Source organism: Homo sapiens, chromosome 12, assembly GCF_000001405.40.
Source record: "Homo sapiens chromosome 12, GRCh38.p14 Primary Assembly".
Lineage (NCBI taxonomy): Eukaryota > Metazoa > Chordata > Mammalia > Primates > Hominidae > Homo > Homo sapiens.
Window position 1 is genome coordinate 54,139,901 of NC_000012.12, and position 17,583 is coordinate 54,157,483.

General features: G+C 52.9%; 1 long non-coding RNA gene across 2 annotated transcripts; it reads left to right on the forward strand.

Moving 5' to 3' along the window:
* Positions 1–2,701: 2,701 nt before the first annotated feature.
* SMUG1-AS1 (SMUG1 antisense RNA 1) lies at positions 2,702–12,756 on the forward strand. 2 transcript variants are annotated; one of them, XR_007063321.1, is made up of 2 exons: positions 2,702–2,921; positions 9,510–12,756. It is a non-coding gene; the product is annotated as an SMUG1 antisense RNA 1 (long non-coding RNA). The 2 variants fall into 2 exon arrangements; XR_007063322.1 differs by having other exon boundaries at positions 9,732–12,756.

The following is a 17,583-nucleotide window of genomic DNA, read 5'->3' on the forward strand; positions in this document are numbered from 1 at the left end:
GATGGTGAGTGCCTGTAGTCCTAGCTACGGGAGGCTGAGGCAGGAGGATCACTTGAGCCCACTAGAGGTTGCAGTGAGCTGTGATTGTACCACTGCACTCCAGCCTGGGCGACAGAGCAAGCAAGACCCTGTCTCTAATAAATAAATATCTGACCATGAAGGTGAGCCTTATGGGCAATAAGTTTCAGGGGCAGAAGAAAGTGCTGTCACTGAGGGTCCTCCCAGGAGACTCCCAGAGGCGGTCAGATAGGAGCTATCCTTGCAGTTTTAGAAAGGCTGAGAGCCCATCAGAGGCCTCCAGGCTGCTAAAGAACCATCCTACGGGTTGTCCTTTGTTTCCCCCAGAACATTGGTCATGGGAGGAATGGGCTCCAGCAGCAGCAGGGTAGCATCACCGAGCACCTGCTCGCTGCCAGGCACTGTGCTGGGAACTAGGAACACAGAGAAGAACAAGGAGGTCCATGTCATCAAGGCACCGACAGTCTGGATGGGGAAAGAAACCACGGATCTTTACAAAGCAAGGTGAAAAGAACCAAGACTATAGGTACACCTAGGGCACCGGGGGAGCACCATGCACACACCTAAACCTCCCTGGGAAGGGAAAGGAAAGGGTCATGGAAGTCTCCCTGAAGGGGAGGAGTATGGAAACTATAAGCAAAATTATATGCAAATGGTGCCCCTTTTTTCTCCCTACACTCCTCCCAACTGAAGGTGACCTTCCACCCCAACAATAAATCCTTAGCTTCTTAAACTAAGGTTACAGTGGGGTGTCAACACCCCAACCGACTCTCACTCATCCTCAAATGATCCAAATCTGAACTGGGATTCCAGCCAGATATGGGGTGCCTCCCTAACCCATGTGCCCCACAGTCGATCCCACCCTGCCAGCATCATGACCAGACACTCTATGATTCCTGAGACAGGACAGAGCCTGGGGAACAGGGAGGGGAGCGCCTACTGTCTCCTGGAATTCACATACCCTACAGCCTTCCTCTTTCATGCCCCTGTGTGTGGAAGATGCCCCTGTTCCCCACCGCTCTCCATCTGTGATCTGGCTCCTGCCCTCCTCCTGCTATAGCTGCTCCTCCTCCCCCCTTGGAAGAATGCACCCTCCCCTCAGCTTTCCCTCCACAGAGGCCAGAGCAGGAGGGAGGCTGCATATGGCCCCGTTTTCCTTGGCCTGGGTAGGCTATTTTGGAAGCGAGAACCCTCCTTGCCCTTTCCTCCCCTCTGGGAAGCACCGTCCCTCCCCTCTCCACATTCCCCAGAAGTTCTCAGACTGAGATCCGCCCTACGTGCAGTTATGTGGTGAAATCACTGCTTTCCTCCCCGCCGGAGGCGCCAAAGCTTGGAAGGGAGGGTACTCAAACCTTTGATGTAGGCACGTTTCAGAAGGCCCACCTGTCCCCTCTCTCCCCAGCCCCCAGCCTGAAAGGCTGGAGCCCCTCATCACAGCTTTCCTGCCTGGATTAGCTGGGGGTAAGATCAGGTCACACACACTCTATCCCGCTGGGGGCAATCAGGCCCAACCACACTCGGGGACATCTGTCTCCAGCAAATAGGGGGCAATCCCAAATTTGAGGGGTTCTGTGACACTTAAAAGCTTCAAGCAGGAAGTTCTGCAATTTCTCTTGGACCAGGGCCTGCGGGGAGGGTCGCTCAGAAACCCTCGTTTGATGTTGCGCTTTCATGGCTGTGGTTTGATCCAGATGTTCCCCAATTGTGGGATTTTATTTTTGGGAGGGAGGGGCCCTTGGCTATAAAGGCATTTCCATCATGTGCACATTTGGATCTGGGCCTGCTGGGCGGGGGTGCTCTTCCAGCTCTCACTAACCCCACCCTTCCCCCTAGGATCATATCCTTTCCCTTCACATCCAGAGAAGAGAAGAGGATCCATAAGGGGGCATTCCCAGCTCCTTGATGGTTTGCTGTGTGACTGTCCAAAAATGTCTCTACATCTCTGTTTTTCTGGCACCATAAGCTGAAGTTGGTTCCTAAAGATGGTTCCCAGGTCATGGGAGGAATAGGACAGGGAATTCCAGAACCAAATTTCTGTCTAAGAAAGAAACAATTATCTAAGAAATTGTGAGTGGAATTGGACTGAACGTGGATGAGTCAGGGCTCTTGAAAAAGAAAGTGGCCGTCCCTCTTTGAGTCAGTTCTGCAAGAGTGGACAGAAACTTTTCCAGACTCCCAGGCCTCTCTGCTCCCTCAGAGCTTGAAAAGATTAAAGTCATTCCTCCTCAAGGTCTTCAGTGAAACCCTGGAAATCTTTCCTTCAATTTTAAGAGATTACAGTTCTTCCCATTGTCTAGCCTCTGTCACTACTTGCTGTAGCATGAGGTGGCTTCCCTGGGGGAAAGTGTACCAGTCCCGCTCATTGGTCGTCTAAGACCTCCCAGCATTCCTCAAGACATTTCTGCCTCATGATGTCAGAAGAAGGGCTGTCAAATAGATTTTAAAACCCCAGGCTCGGCCAGGCACAGTGGCTCACGCTTGTAATCCCAGCACTTTGCGGGAATCACGAGAGCAGAAGATCGAGACCATCCTGGCTAACACGATGAAACCCCATCTCTAATAAAAATACAAAAAATTAACTGGGCATCCTGGCAGACGCCTGTAGTCCCAGCTACTCGGGAGGCTGTGGCAGGAGAATGGCGTGAACCCGGGGAGGCAGAGCTTGCGGTGAGCAGAGATCACACAACTGCACTCCAGCCTGGGCAACAGAGCGAGACTCCATCTCAAAAAAAAAAAAAAAAGACTTGGCTCCTCACTTGTATTGTGGGAATCCCAGCCTAAATTGGACATGTGGATGTTGAGCAATAGAGGACAGACAAACAAAGGAATCTCCAGACCCTGCAGGACCCAAGGCAGCAGCCCACGAGTGGATCCTAAAGGATTTTCATCAGCTGCAAGTCTGGGTAAGTGGGCTTTTTTTGGGGGGAGGGGAGAAGCAGCCTGGGATGCTTCTTGCAGGAAGAGGAGTTTCAGAGGAGACAAGAGAGGTTAGGAGCCACTGAGTGGGTGAGGAGGGCCTAGCCCAAGAGGCTGGGGACAACCACGAGAGGCGGGCCAATGGGAGAAGAGGGCACTGTTCCTCAGCGGACTAGGTAGAAGGAGGGGTTGGAGAGAGGTGGGTGCAAGGAAGGAAGAAGGAGGATGGGGAGCTCCCCGTGGCTGCCCCACCTGAAGAATTTGAGCAGCTGTTCCCAGCTCCCCCTTGCTCTGTGTAACATCAAGCAAATGCACGGTGGGGGATCAGCTTTTCCTCTGAAGACCTCAGGGCCAGTTCTCAGGCCTCCCCCTCCCTATGGACTTTAATCCAGTCCAGCACAGATGGATCAGGTCATGATGGTGATGGGGGTGGTAGCATTGGGTCTCCCTGGCTTGAATTTTTTCTTATTCCCCCATGTCCTCTCCTCCTTAGGTGATAATTTATCCTTTCGCATGGTCTTACATACTTCACATGTCTATAGCTCAGAGAACTAAGAAGCACCTCATCATTCTTAAGTTGGGCCTTGCTACCTGCAGGCCCCTCCCCTCCCACACTTACCTTCACACGACTGGGGCAAGTGGTTAGCTTCCCCACGGCCCCCCCAGCCCCTCTCCTCTCCAAGACACCCTTCTTATCTTTCTGACTACAATTAGAGCCTCCTCTCCCTGTAGGGGAGTGAGAGGGACAAGGTCAAGGATCCTCACAACTCAATAACAGCTGTAGAGCCTCACCTATCCTGTGTACTCACAGTGACTCCATGCAGGGGACCAGCAACAAGGGGAAAGGGAGTGGGAGTTAGTGTGGGGACAGGGGAGAAGCATGCATCGGGATTCCCTGCCTGGTCTAGTCTGGTCTGGGAGCAGGGCAGATGCTCAACAAGGCATCCCAGGTCTCGGGGAGCGGCTGGCAGTGGTGAAACACCAGCTCTCTCAGGGCACGTGAAAGTTCATGTTTCCCCTCCCTCTCCTCTCTCCCTCCCACTCTTCATGACTGGATCCAGGGAAGGACACACCTGTCACAAGTACTGCCCTCATCTCTCCCTGTAACTCCACCTCCACCCCCCATACCCACTTTATCCCTCTGCAGGGTTACTAGAGCCTGACCAAAATTCTCTACTGACCAGAGACAGACAGACAGACCTGTTCCCTGTTCCCCAACTTCCAGTGGTGCTGCGCATGGAGACGCTGAGGTGGGACCCAAAGACCTGCTCCCGTCTTCTCTCCTTAGGGACTTGCAGAAGCCCCTTTCTCAGAGTCACCCCTCCCAGGATGAGGTGAAGAGGCTGAAAAGGGAAGGGCCATAATGCTAAGGCTGGGGCAGGGGACAGCGGCGCCCTCCATGCACTCTCCTGATTAGTGCAGGTAAACATAAGGGTTTCCCCCAAATGCGAGGGTTCTGCTTCAGTGCCATGGAAGGCCCCACCAGCACCTGCTGCCCCTCCTGTTCGTCCTCCCTCTCTTCAGCCCCACAATTACCGAGAGCGAGTTGTTGAGGCAAGCTCTACCCCAGGCCTGCGTTAAGAAATTTGGGTGGGATAGGCCGGGCGTGGTGGCTCACGCCTGTAATCCCAGCACTTTGGGAGGCCGAGGAGGGTGGATCACGAGGTCAGGAGATCGAGACCATCCTGGCTAACATGGTGAAACCCCATCTTTACCAAAAATACAAAAAATAAGCCGGGCGTTGTGGTGAGCGCCTGTAGTCCCAGCTACTCGGGAGGCTGAGGCAGGAGAATGGAGTGAACCCTGGAGGTGGAGGTTGCAGTGAATCGAGATCGCACCACTGCACTCCAGCCTGGGCGACAGATCGAGACTCTGTCTCAAAAAAAAAAAAAAAAAAAAAGAAATTTGAGTGGGAGAATAGAGGTAAGAGACATTTCCTTAGTGTTTACTGCAAACCCTGCCAGGCTAGAGGTGCCATAATCTGCCCTGTATCAGATCCACAGAGTCATCCCACCAAAACCCCCCCCAGGATGTATGTGAGACCACTGGACTCATTGGCACTGGCAAATAAGAAGATGGCCAGAAAGCAATCAACACCGAACGCCCACTGCGTGCTTGGCACTGGGCCAGACTCTGCTGGGGGAGACTGGAGGAAAGGCCCATTTCACTGGTCTTGAGCTCTACATACCATGTTAAGCCAGAGAGGTACATATTACAAATACTGGAGACTCTCATGCTTGAGTATAATCCTATAATCTTATACCCACTCCCATTCAGACGTGTGGTCATATGTGAATGTCAAGCACACAAGCTAGACAGAAGAAAGAACTTCCCTAGGTTGTCAGTACTGTAGAGTAAAATCATCAGACTCGAAGCCCTCATTCTCGGAAGGTGATGAACTGGGAGAGCCCCCGCCTTGCTGGGCCAGGGGTAAAATAAGGCTCCTGTCTGAAGGCAGGGGGATGGTTGAGATGACCCCTCAAGATGCTACCCAGGAAAAGGCAGAGAGGTAAAGTTTCCAGTAGAGGGGCATGAGAAGGAGGGACAGACAGATGGATGGAGGGATGGAGGAGTGCAGGGAGCAGTGCTGGAGAGATGAATGGTCTTGGCTGGACTGATGGGCGAGGCCAAGATGGATGGATGGCAGCTGAGGTTTGTTTACTGGCAGCCCCCAGCCCGCCATCGCCCAGGGGAGAGGAATGGTGGCTGGCACATCAGAGGGCTCTTAGGGAAGCTCATGGAGATGATTTAGATGGGAATGAATCAGCTCCATATGGATTAAGTGTCCCCGCAAATCCCAGATCTTACAGATGAGGGGATGGGGCAAGGGCACTGAGGGGAGGGGAGAGAGTGGGGAAGCAGCGTGGAGCTGGTGCAGGGAAACACGGTCCTGAAGCCAGGGGAAGGGCACCCTCAGAGGGCATGGGGCAGGTCAGCCTGGCACAGATGCAACCCCTGCCTTGGTCTGTTGATACCACTGTTCCTCTTGCTTGGTACCAAGCTTTAGGAAAAGGCCTCCTTCTCCACACCAAACCAACTGTTGGAGTGTCCTTTCTGAGTCCGTTTTGGTCTGTCTCCTCTTGCCTCTGTCTCTTGTTCTCTCTACATCTTCATCTGTCTTTCATCTTCATTTTTCTGTCCCTCTCACTACCTAGCCTTCTCTGTGTTTCTGTCTCTCTCCTTCCACATTCCCCCGCTTTCCACACTCCCACACTTTCCATCTCTTTCTCTAGAGGTATAAATGGTAGAGGGATGCTGCCAGTTTCTCTGAACGTCAGCCTTAGCTCTGCCCTCCTCTCCTGGGGTCAGGTCTGATGCCTCCCTCCCTCTGTACTGTTCTCTCACACAGACCACAAGTTTGGAGGTGGTCAACAGAACAGGGAAGGTGGTCAGAAAAGTGACTTTTTGGCTACAGAAAGTTATTTGTGTTCCTCTCTGCCACCCTGCCCTCGTGCCTTCAGCTGTCCCTTCTCCCAGTGCCAGAGGAGGCTTGGATTGAGCACCCATGCTCTATGGACAACAGCAAGTTGAGCAGACCTTAACATCATTCCCGGGGAGGCAACGGGTCATCTGCTGGCTGGGGTTATCAAAGGCCCCATCTCCTACTCCTCTCCCATGCCCCACAGTGAAGAGCCCCAGAGCTGGCTGTGGTTATGAAGCCGGCTGCCATGTGGGCGACCTGGAGTCAGAGCACGGGGCAGTCACATATGACAATTGGTTGAAATATCACAGCCACTCTCCCCCCACCCCCACTGGTGATCTATGGGCTGCGTGCCCTGTAAAAATTATTTATCGGGGCCTCAGAGTGTCCTGATTTAGTGCCGCTGCCTCTGGGGCCTTGGGGCCTGCCTGTCCACCAGAGTCTAAGCGTTAAACGACGCTAAAAAGTTAAACAGCCAACGCTGGGGGCTCACTCGAGGAGGCACCATAAAGCTGTCGGAGCTGCTTAAATCAGGAGCGAGGATTCCCTGGGACGTCTTCTCTCCATACGCCGCAAGCCAAGAAGGCTCTCCTTACCCCTCTGCCACTCACCCATACCCAGAAGCCCACAGAGGGCAGGGGACACGTGGGCCGGGGGCCTGGAACAGAGCCCAAAAGGAGGCCACGGATGACCTCCTCTGCAGGGCTTTCTCCAGCAGAACAGGGGCCGTGGCTCAAGAGGGTAGGGGTCATGTTGTCCAGCTCACCAACTCTGGGCAGGGGTCTCCTTGTTCCGGTCCAGTTTTTAAAGACTTCCAACAAAAGGCACTGCCAAAGTCTCTCCCAGGGGCCCCTGGGGAGAAGTTGTTTCCCAAGTCTGTCTCACTTCAATCCACGCTTCTGTGTGTTGAATCCACTGGAACTCAGTGTCTTCCCACTCAGGTTTGGAGAGGCTGTGCTGGCCACACCAGCCTGTGACTTCTTGCCTCCTTTCACCCCTCCACACCCACTTGCATGGCTCTCTGAGGAACAGAGCCCCACCCTTCCATCACCACCCTCCGCCAACGCACCCCTGGGTGCTGGCATAACACGCAAGCTTCACAGATGGCTTTTCTCAGCTGAAGCCCAGTCCCTGCTGCCACCACCCGGCCGCCGAGCAAGAGGGAAGGTGGGTCTCTGCATGCTGCCTATCACACCTTCTTTCAGCAGCAATAAAACTCACTCTTAAAACCTCCGCTTGGGTCCCTAATATTTGCCTGGCTATATATCTCCGATGATATATGGACAGAAATTGCTCATAAACGGCTATAAAACCTCTTAGTCAAGCCGGGGAGGAGGCGCATGAGGGTGGGCATGGCCCGGGCTGCAGGAGGATTGGAAGCTGAGCCACTCTGCTGAGCACCCCAAACTCAACTCTAGATTCCAGGGACCAGTGGCTGGGTGTGGGGCCTGACAAGGGTGGAGGAAGAAGACCCAGAGGAAGATCTTCAAGCCTCTCATGTGGTATTATGGGTCTGTCTTACCCGGGTGCTCCAGGCATGCGCTGTGTGGCCTTGGGCAAGTCACTCAGCCACTCTGTACCATGGTTTCCATCACCAACATGAGGATAATGACACCTACCCAGGCTCCTTCATTAAGTTGTCATGACAATCAAATGATACAAATTGATACAAATAATTTATCAATGCTTTGTAAAGTAGAGAGGTTGCATATATCAGGTGCTACCTCCAGATGGGCACAGTGCATAGAAGGCATACTATGTGCTGGATACTTTACTTAATTATCTCTAATCCTGACAACACCTGCCACGTAGGTATTACTGTCATCATGTTGCAGACAAAAACCCTGAGGTTCAGAGAGGTGTTCTCAGGTAGTCAGTGCCAGAGATAGAATTCCAACCCAGGCCTGACTCCAAAGCATCAGAATGAAATCCTGGCAACAGAAGGGATAACAGGTAAGACACTGGGGGGACTTCCAAACAGGGCAGGAAGATGGCTGAAGGAGGCCTTCTGTCCCTGGTCTCGCCTCCCCAGAGTGCAGACCTGTCTGTCTAAGAGAGTCAAGTGGTTCCCCTCAGCCTGTTCCCAGTCACTACACCTGATCACCGGAGGAAACAGCTCCCAAGGTGGAAGGCAAAAACCTGGGGCTTTGTGGGAGGCCAGAGCCCTCCAATCAGGACACTAGGAGATACAGGTGGGCCAGGTGAGGAGAGGCCTTTGTGGGAGCAGGCTATTTAGACTGAGATAGTCCCAGAGTTCCTGGTCCAACCCCCCACCAGCTCCAGTCCCTGACTCTCCCATCTGGTTACCCTCCCTCTCCCTCTGCCAGTCCCTGATGCCTCTTCACTCCATGAGGCCCCACCCTCTTCTTCCCCCACCCCACATCCCCTCTGCTTACCCCCCATTCTCCCTCCCCAACAGTATCCCCCGAGAGCCTGGCTGCTCCTCTGGCTGTTCCACACCCCTTCGCCCACCCATAGTCCCTCCAGTACCTGGCTACTCCTTCCCTCCACCTTGGCTGCTGGTTCTCTTCTCTCCCCAGGTCCCTTCAACCCCCAGCTGTTCCCTCTGTCTGCCCACTCATTCCCTCCCTCCAAGCATCCCCCAGCTCCTGGGTGCCCCTTCCTTTCGTGACCCTGCAGCCCCCAACCTCCCCCTAGCGTTCCTCTGGTCTCTTCTCACCTGCCCTCCAGGACCCGGCCCCTGCCCTACCCTTTGTCCCCTTCTTGTGACAAACCAAACAGCAGGAAGGCCATCCTTGTGCCCCACACCTCTCCTTCCCCAGTGGCTCCCACCCCCAACCCCACTTTTCTTTAAGTTTCCAAATCAACCTTCCTCCAATAATAATGATAAAGCAGGAAGCCGGGCCGGAGGACAGTGCAGATTTTTCTTCTTGACATGGAGTTTCCGATTAAAGGCAAAGGGACATAAATCCTCCCGCGTAATTGCTGTGCTCCAGCTCGGAGCCACTTGGAAGAGAGGCTCCCACCCTCTCTGCCCCTGCCACTGGGAGCCCCACCCCCAATTTGAGCAGGGCTTGGTCCCCAGAGCCTGGGGGTTGGCTGGGAAGGGGGAGCAGAATATTGCTGGCATGGGCACAGCTCTGGGAAGGGGGTGGGATAAACTTGAGCAGGGCTCTCTGCATTTTCCTTCCAGGGGTCCAAGCCTAGGATAGACTGTGGGCCACGGCCCAGCTCAAAGCACCTTTCTCTGCATCCAGGGAGCCCTTCAGCCCCTCACATCAGAAGCACACTTTACACTTGGACAAAGCTTGTTGGCATTTATTATCATTGTAAGAACCTTGAAAATTATTGAACAGATACCAGATGGAGGAGGGGCCCCAAGAAATGAACAAGTGCAACTCCCCTTGTTTTACAGATGGGGAAACTGAGGCCTGAAAAAAGGACTGTCTGGTGGCAGAGCTGGGAACTTAGAACTTGACATCTCATGCACCACAGAGGGGCTGGCACCGTTTACATCTACTAAATCGTGGGCCAAATAGCTTTCTCCCAAGTAGTTTTCTCACCTGCTAGAGAAGCTTTTTAAAAATTCAAGAATGCTGGATGTTGTTATTCCCTCTCTACAGACTGGAGAACGATGACACTAGAAGTGTGTGGGAATTACCTGAGGTCAAAAGCCAAGGGTGGAGCCTGCGGTCCCTCGGCCTCCTGATTCCACATTCATCCTCTTCCCGTCTCAGGATTTTACACCCAGAGATGCCAATGTCTGGTGACTCCACAGGTTGAACTCAGCCTGGCCTGAAACCAGCCCTCAACCCTTCGAAAGCCACAGAGCGCCCCCGCCCCCACCCCTGGCAGGGACCTTCCCAGCTCTGTTCCTCCCTTCTTTTTATTATTATTATTATTATTGAGACGGAGTTTCACTCTTGTTGCCCAGGCTGGAGTGCAATGGCACGATCTTGGCTCACCGCAACCTCTGCCTCCAGGGTTCAAGCGATTCTCCTGCTGCCTCAGCCTCCTGAGTAGCTGGGATTACAGGTGTGCACCACGCCTGGCCAATTTTGTATTTTCAGTAGATACACCCACCCCCAGGCTCTGGGGACCAAGCCCTGCTCAAATTGGGGGTGGTGCTGCCAGGGGCAGGGGCAGAGAGGGTGGGAGCCTCCCTTCCAAGTATTTTAGGGTTTCTCCATGTTGGTCAGGCTGGTCTCGAACTCCTGACCTCAGGTGATCCACCCACCTCAGCCTCCCAAAGTGCTGGGATTACAGGCATGAGCCACCACGCCTGGCCCCTTGTTTTCCAACCTCCTGCCTATTCTTCTCCTCCGTGAAGCCCTCCTGATTTGAAACCCTTGGCTCCCCTTTTCTTGGTTTCTTCCTGCACTCAACAAGCCCCTCCAGCAATTCCTAAATCAGGTCCTGGTGTGACTCTCTTCTCTCTCATCGGACTAGGGGAACAGGCCTGCGTCTCCTCCCTCTGAACTGCCAACTACTAACCCCCACCATACCCATTGTCTCCACACCACCTCCCACGCCCCCTGAAGACTCAGACCCAAAACAGATCTGTAAAGCATGTGCGTGTGACCATGGGAACCCGGGAGTCCTGTCTCCTCTTCATCCACAGAAATTTCCACAGAAGCCCCACGGATTCCCATTTCAGGTATGAGACTACCATTGCCTCTGGGTTTCCCTGACCCTCCAGGGACAATCTGGCTTGTCCTCCCCCAGACTTCTTCCCTCAGCACCTCAGGTGAGGGGAAACCTTCATGTCCATGCCCTGGGCACCCACCCCTCCCTCTACCACATCAAAGCTCAGTGGGGAGCAAGGTCCAGTGAGGGCTTTGGAGTCTCCAGGAAGACCCCCCTTTCTGGGTCAGCTAGAAGATCAGCTTAGAAGGCTTAGCTGCTCCTGAAGGGGCCTGTGTTGAGCTTCTTGTGCCATGTTTGGGGTGGCTCTGTGGCACTGCCTGGGCTGAGTAGTTCTGGATGTGACTATAGGGATTTGGGGTGTTACTGTAGATTTTGGATGCTGTCATAGAGTTTGGAGTACAACTGTGGAGTTGCCCTGGAGATTATGGTGGGGTTTTCTGGGCTTCACACTAGGGTTGCTCTGGGGTTTTTATAGGGTTACTCCAAAAGGCCACAGGCCTGTGCTACTACCTGGCCCAGAGGAAGGGAGGGAGATAAGGCTGTAAAAGAAAGCTAGGGAGTTTGGAGGGGGAAGGACGGAGGTGACCCAGCTTCCTAGAGGAGGGGATAATTTGAAGTTGCAGAGCAGCAAGGCTCTGCTCTACCCCATCTTGGTATTCAAGTCCCAAACCCTGGCCAACAGCCTCCTTTGTTGGCAGTGAGGGTCTGGGAATGAAGAAGGCTGCTTGCTCCCCTGGAGTGATGACAGGCGAGATGCTGTGCAAGCCCCGGGCTTTCTGTAGGGAGGAAGGACCAGGCCTGGTCCTGGGCAGCAGTATGGTCCTCCTGGGTGTATGTCCCCAACAATAACTGAGCCCAGAGCTCCCACCTCAGTCTTGGAGCCCTGCCCTGGGTGTTGCTGGGGCAGGGCAGAGTCCGGAGGAAAACGACATAGACCCTTCTCCCTGGGGACCCTGAACTTACAGGGATGACAGACCCTAATCTTGGACCCAAGTGAATAGAGAACTCTTCTTGCAGCTTAATCATGAAAAACTCCCCAAGAGACAGAAGTGTAGAGCCAGGATTGGGCAGAGTCTGAGAAGGGAGAGGGTTCCAAGTAGCAACAGCTGAGGGAAGGTGCAGAGGTGAGGAAGGATGAGGGTAGTTTAGCCCCAGAGACTTGGCGTAGGGAAAGAAGAGTCATTCACTCTTGTATCCATCATTCACTTAGCAAACAATCGAGAGAGCAGCTCTACATCAGCATGGTACCAGGAAACACACAGATGAATTACACAGGCAGGGACAGCAACTGGAGAGGCTTCCAGAAACTCAGTCCTCATCCAGAATACTAGCACCAGCTTCAGAGTTCTCTGGGTCCATGCTAGCTGAGCTTCTACCTCCCCGCCTCTCCAATCCAAAAGAAATCCATTCCCTAGCATTTTACTTCTTCCTCAGAGTCCCACCCCTGCCTCAGTCCTTGCCCCAGACCCACTACTCAAATATGCCATGCTCCTCCCCTCTGGGCAGACCCTGGAGCACCTTCTGGACCACAGCTACAGCAGGAGGGATTGGGGCTAGACATTTTGAGCACCTTCCCAGTGGCAGAGAGCAGTGGTGCTGAGGAGCTGAGCAGAGGGCCAAGGAAGGGATGTGAGCTTGAGTCCAGGCCCGAGATCCTCAGCCTGACTTTGCATCTTGCCGGGAGAGGCATCATTCATCCACCCAGGGGTGGAGATGGGGCAGGGGGAGGGGAACGAAAAACACCCACAGCCCATTAACCTACTTTTGCAACTTCATTAAAACAGAGTCTTCGACATGTTGCCATAAATTGTCTTCTGAGGAGGAAGCCAGATCTCAAGTTCTAGCAGTGAAGCTTCAGAGAAGAGGCTGGGATAGCCAGGTTAGAAGTTAGAAGGGACACTGTGTGTGTGTGTGTGTGTGTGTGTGTGTGTGTGTGTGTGTGTGTGTGTGTGTGTGTGTGTGTGTGGTCACTGAAAGGTTTTGCAGGCTGGGCCAGTCTGGCTGCCTGTTGCAGGGTTTCCTAGGTGGCAGGCCACTGGGTGAGGGGCAGGGAGGGAATTTTATATACTATTGTATCATGGCTGCCCTGAATCTTCACAGCTTCCTGGAGTCCCATAGAAGCTCTTCTCAGCCTTTGAGGCCTCCTTCAAGAAGCCCTGTTCTTTGACGCTCAGGAAACTCATTGAAAAAAAAAAAAAGAAATCCTGTTCTGCCCCAAAGCCCCTTCTGCAAGGTGTGCACTGAGCATTAGGCTTCCCAGCACTGAGTACAGCAGACCCCAGCAGCCTCCAGAGAGCCTGAGACCAGCACCGCCCTTGCTAGACAGGTGGCCTGGTACAGTGGAAGGAGCACTGGCTCACAGGTCAGCAGGGCTGGGTCCCAGTCCCCTTACATGAGTAGTAACTGAGGGCCCAAGCCCTGGAGAGGGACTGCCAGGGTTCAAATTCTGCCTTTGCCATTTAAGGACCTCAGCCAAGTTATTTAACCTCTCTGTGCCTTAGTTTCCTCATGGGAATAACGATAGTTCATAAAGTTATTGAGTCTTAAATGGGATGGCCCATGGAAAATGCATAGCGGCCAAGCACAGTGGCTCACGCCTGTAATCCCAACACTTTGGGAGGCCAAGGCAGGTGGATCACTTGAGGCCAGGAGTTTGAGAACAGTCTGGCCAACATGATGAAATCCTGTCTCTACTAAAAATATAAAAATTAGCCAGGCATGGTGGGACATACCTGCAATCCCTGCTACTTGGGAGACTGAGGCAGGAGAATCACTTGAATCGAGGAGGCCGAGGTTGCAGTGAGCTGAGATCACACCACTGCATTCCAGCCTGGGCGACAGAGTGAGACTCCATCTCAAAAAAAAAAAGAAAATGCATAGCACTTAGGACCTGGCACATCCCTGGGGTCAAAAAACACGGGCTATTGTTGTCATTATTACGTACTTATTTACTTAGGGTTCACAGGCCTGACAAGAACCTTTGAAGTTCAGGGAATCTGCTCATCTGGCTTTACCCATGAGGAAGCTGAGGACCAGAGAAGGGAAGTGACTTGGGTCAGAATCAGAGCTTCTCTTCCCAGACTTCCTTTCATCCAACCAAGGGTCTTCCCCCAAGAGGTCCTCTCTGGGCCTTAGTTTCTTCAATTGTGCAGTGAAGGGATTAGAGTAGATCAGGAGTTTCCTTTTTTGTCATCATCATTATTATTACTATTATTATTGTATTATTATTATTGCCTTAGAACTTCTTTTCAAACAATCCTCACTTAGAATCGCACTATGCAAAAGTGGACTAGATCTGGAGAAAACTGCAAGAGCAGGGGGTGGGATGGTCTAGAGCCCCTCTACCCCAGCAACAACCTCAGAGGCCTGTCAGAGAAACCCTGGGAGGTCACAGACCCCAGGTCAAGACCTTGGCCGGGGTGATGTCAGGGCTTCCACCACTGGCACTCTAGGAGGCTGGTGCCCCCAGAAGACCAAGAACTCTCCAAAGCCACACTGGGAGAAGAGGAGAGGCCTTAAGAAGGGCTTCCTGGGGACAGGATTATCTTGACACCCTCTCTATACAGAAAAGGGGTGGAAGAGGCAGGGATGCAGAAGAACGGTCCAGAGGGCCTCTGCGGAGCAGCTTGTTCTACCTGTCCAGGGATCCCACACCTGATGTGCCTCCACCTTCTCTCTGCTTCCCAGTTCTGAGCTGCCTGCACTCCTGCCATAGTTGCAGCCCAAGAAAACATGGCCATAAAACAGACATTTGCTTTAGTTGTCACTTGAAGGGGCAATTTAGCACAGGCTATTTGCAAGCTGTTGGAGTTCTTTACGAGGCTTTATCATGTTTTCCCAAAGTGCTCCCCTCGAAGCGAATTCCCAGGTCAAAGTTCACACGTAACTATTTAGGGGGAAGAGGGAGCATGGGAGATTGTACAGACTGGAGAATATATATATTTTTTAGGTCAGGTCAAGAGTGGCTGAAAAATAAGAGCAAGAGAAAGCCAGGCCGGCCTCTGATTGAGGCAAGTGCTGTGTGACCTTGCCCAAATATTTTCCCTCTCTGGGCCTCCTGCAAGCAAAGGCCAGTCTCAGTGGTAAAAATGAAACATGTGACTCAGCCCCAGCCTCTAGGGCCCTCACCCTTGCAATGACCCAGATGCTGTGTATTTGCAGCCAAATCACACTCAATGAGTCTTGACTTGTACTCTCTGGTTTGGATCTCTCTAGCTCTTCCCTCCCGCCAACTACCGCCCCCAGCAAACTGCTGATCCTTCCCTGCCATCAATTTCCCCCACTTGGTTTCTTCACTTGTTTTCTGGGGTCCTTCTTCCCTAGGAGAAAGGGCTAAATTTTGCTAGACCTCCCAGCTGCTCCAAGGAGGGGAAAAGTCACCAACTCCACCTCCTTCCAAAGTTCATGTGGTTTCCCCCCTCGATTTTCCCACAGTCCTTCCCCTCTTCCCTCCAGAGCTCTAGGCTGAGTGGCATCAGTGGGAACAAACCTCTCACACTGTAAACAGAGCGGCTTTCCTGAGGCTGGATGCAAGGTCCTTGGAGATCACACAGTGGGCAGGGGCTGGGAAGCTGGGACCCTGGGGCACCTTGAACATACACCAGTTCCCCTTCGGCTCCCTGCAAAGAAAATCTCCCACCTCTAAGGCCTTATGGAGACTGGGACATGGGTTTGGGGGTACACTCTGAGGCCTGCATCCAGTGCTCTCCCAAGGGTGACTTGGGAAGTGGGGGTGAGCCAGAGGTCATAATGTAGAATAGGGGTCTCCCCTCACTCAAGACCCCACCCCCTTCCTTACATTTCTGAGGAACTTTCCTGGCCTCCACGGACAATTCCAGCCTCAGTATTCCCAGGGAAGGGTAATGAGGCAAGTGGGACATTTCTCAGGCTGGGAGAGACCCCCAAGGTCAGGGTCAGATAGAAGGCAGGATGTGTGGGAGGCAGAGGAGTCAGGAATATGGGAATCTGGGGTGGTGGGAAATCCTGTGGTTCCTGAAGCAGCAACAACATTTGCAAAGGAGACTCCACCAGAGGAGCTGCCTGGAGGCTCACTGAGGCATTCTGCAGCCCAGACCCACCCGTAGACTACCAGTCAGGGACTGCACTCAGGCCTGATACCAAGCCACTGGGGCTGATGTGAAGGGAGGTGAGTACAGGTTCTCCCAGGCAATTATCAAGAGGAAAAGAAACAGAGCAGAGACCATTAGGGAAGAAATGAGAAGGGAGAGGGGCCCCAGACACAATTCTCCAAATAAGTCCTTCTGTGTACTGTGTGTGAATTAAGCTTCTGCCTACCTAAAGTCCAAAGGAATCTTGTAACGTCAATCCCATTTTTCATATCAATAAATAGAGGGTGCAAGAGGCAAAGGAAGTAGCCCAGATCACATGGGCTACAGATCAAATGGGCCTGGCCATTTATCTAGTTACCACCCCCCAGCCTCCTCACCTGCTGTGTTGTAAGGGGCTACCTATGCATCTATTTACATCTGGCTGATAGTCTCCATTCTCACCACCACAAAAACAGAATCTCAGAGTAAGGAGGTCCAACCTCCCCATGGTGCAATTAGGGAACTGATGCCCAGAGAAGGGAAGCTGCTTGCTTAGGGTCACAGAGCCAGAAGAATCAGGGCAGGGACTTAAACCAATTCAGAAGGCTGCTCTTTCCTAGAGCCAGGTTCTCAACTATTTACATACACAGATGTCAGACACCATATTAGGCACCAGGGAAATAAAGATGAATGAGTACAGGCCCTGCCTTGAGAGGCTCAGAAGTGAGGAGACAGGCTCCCCCGACCCAGCCTGTAGAAAGACATCCTCCAGATGCCAAGGACCACATGCTAAGAAAGAAGTTGCTCTAAGCTGGGGAAGTCAAAAAGGCCACCTGGAGGGGGTGGGCCTAAAAAATGATTAGAGGTGTGAGTGGGAGGAGGGCACTCGCTCTGGTGATCCAGGCGGGAGGAAATGTAAGTGCACAGGAATAGTCCTCTTGGGGAAGACACTCCTGCTGGAGGATTATGGGAGACAAGGCTGGAAAGGCAGGTTGGGAATAGACAGACCAGAGAAGAACCTGAGTGCCGGCTAGAGGGCCTGAGCTTCACTCCATGGGCACTGGGGAGTTATGGAAGGTTTCTGTCTGGGGTGACGGGGGATCCATGCAAAGGGACTTACTAGGAAATTTACTCTAATAAAGTAGGGTAATAAATTAGGGAGCAGCTTACAGGGCAGACTTCCTTGGAAAAAACCTGAGGCATCAAGCATGTCAATGCATCTGTGGGTTGCCTCTTGGGGTGACTGTGGTGTGAGTGTGTGTGTATGTGTGTGTACGCACACACACAAGTGTAGTGCTAAGACCAGGAAAGCCTGGTTTCACAAAACTGCTCCAGTCTGCCCTGGTGGGGAGATGATGGATCACCAGATCCCCACCCCTTCTGTCTCCCTTTCATAACCACCCTGAATGGGCAAAAGCATAGCTGCCTCCCCACACAGTCTGTGTACCCTGAACCCCAGCACGCACATGAAGAAACTGTCCTAGAAGCAGAGACACGCGCACACACACCAGGGAGCACAGTAAGCAACCTCTTACCTAACCTTTTCCCTCAAGACTCATGCCAATAGAGAAG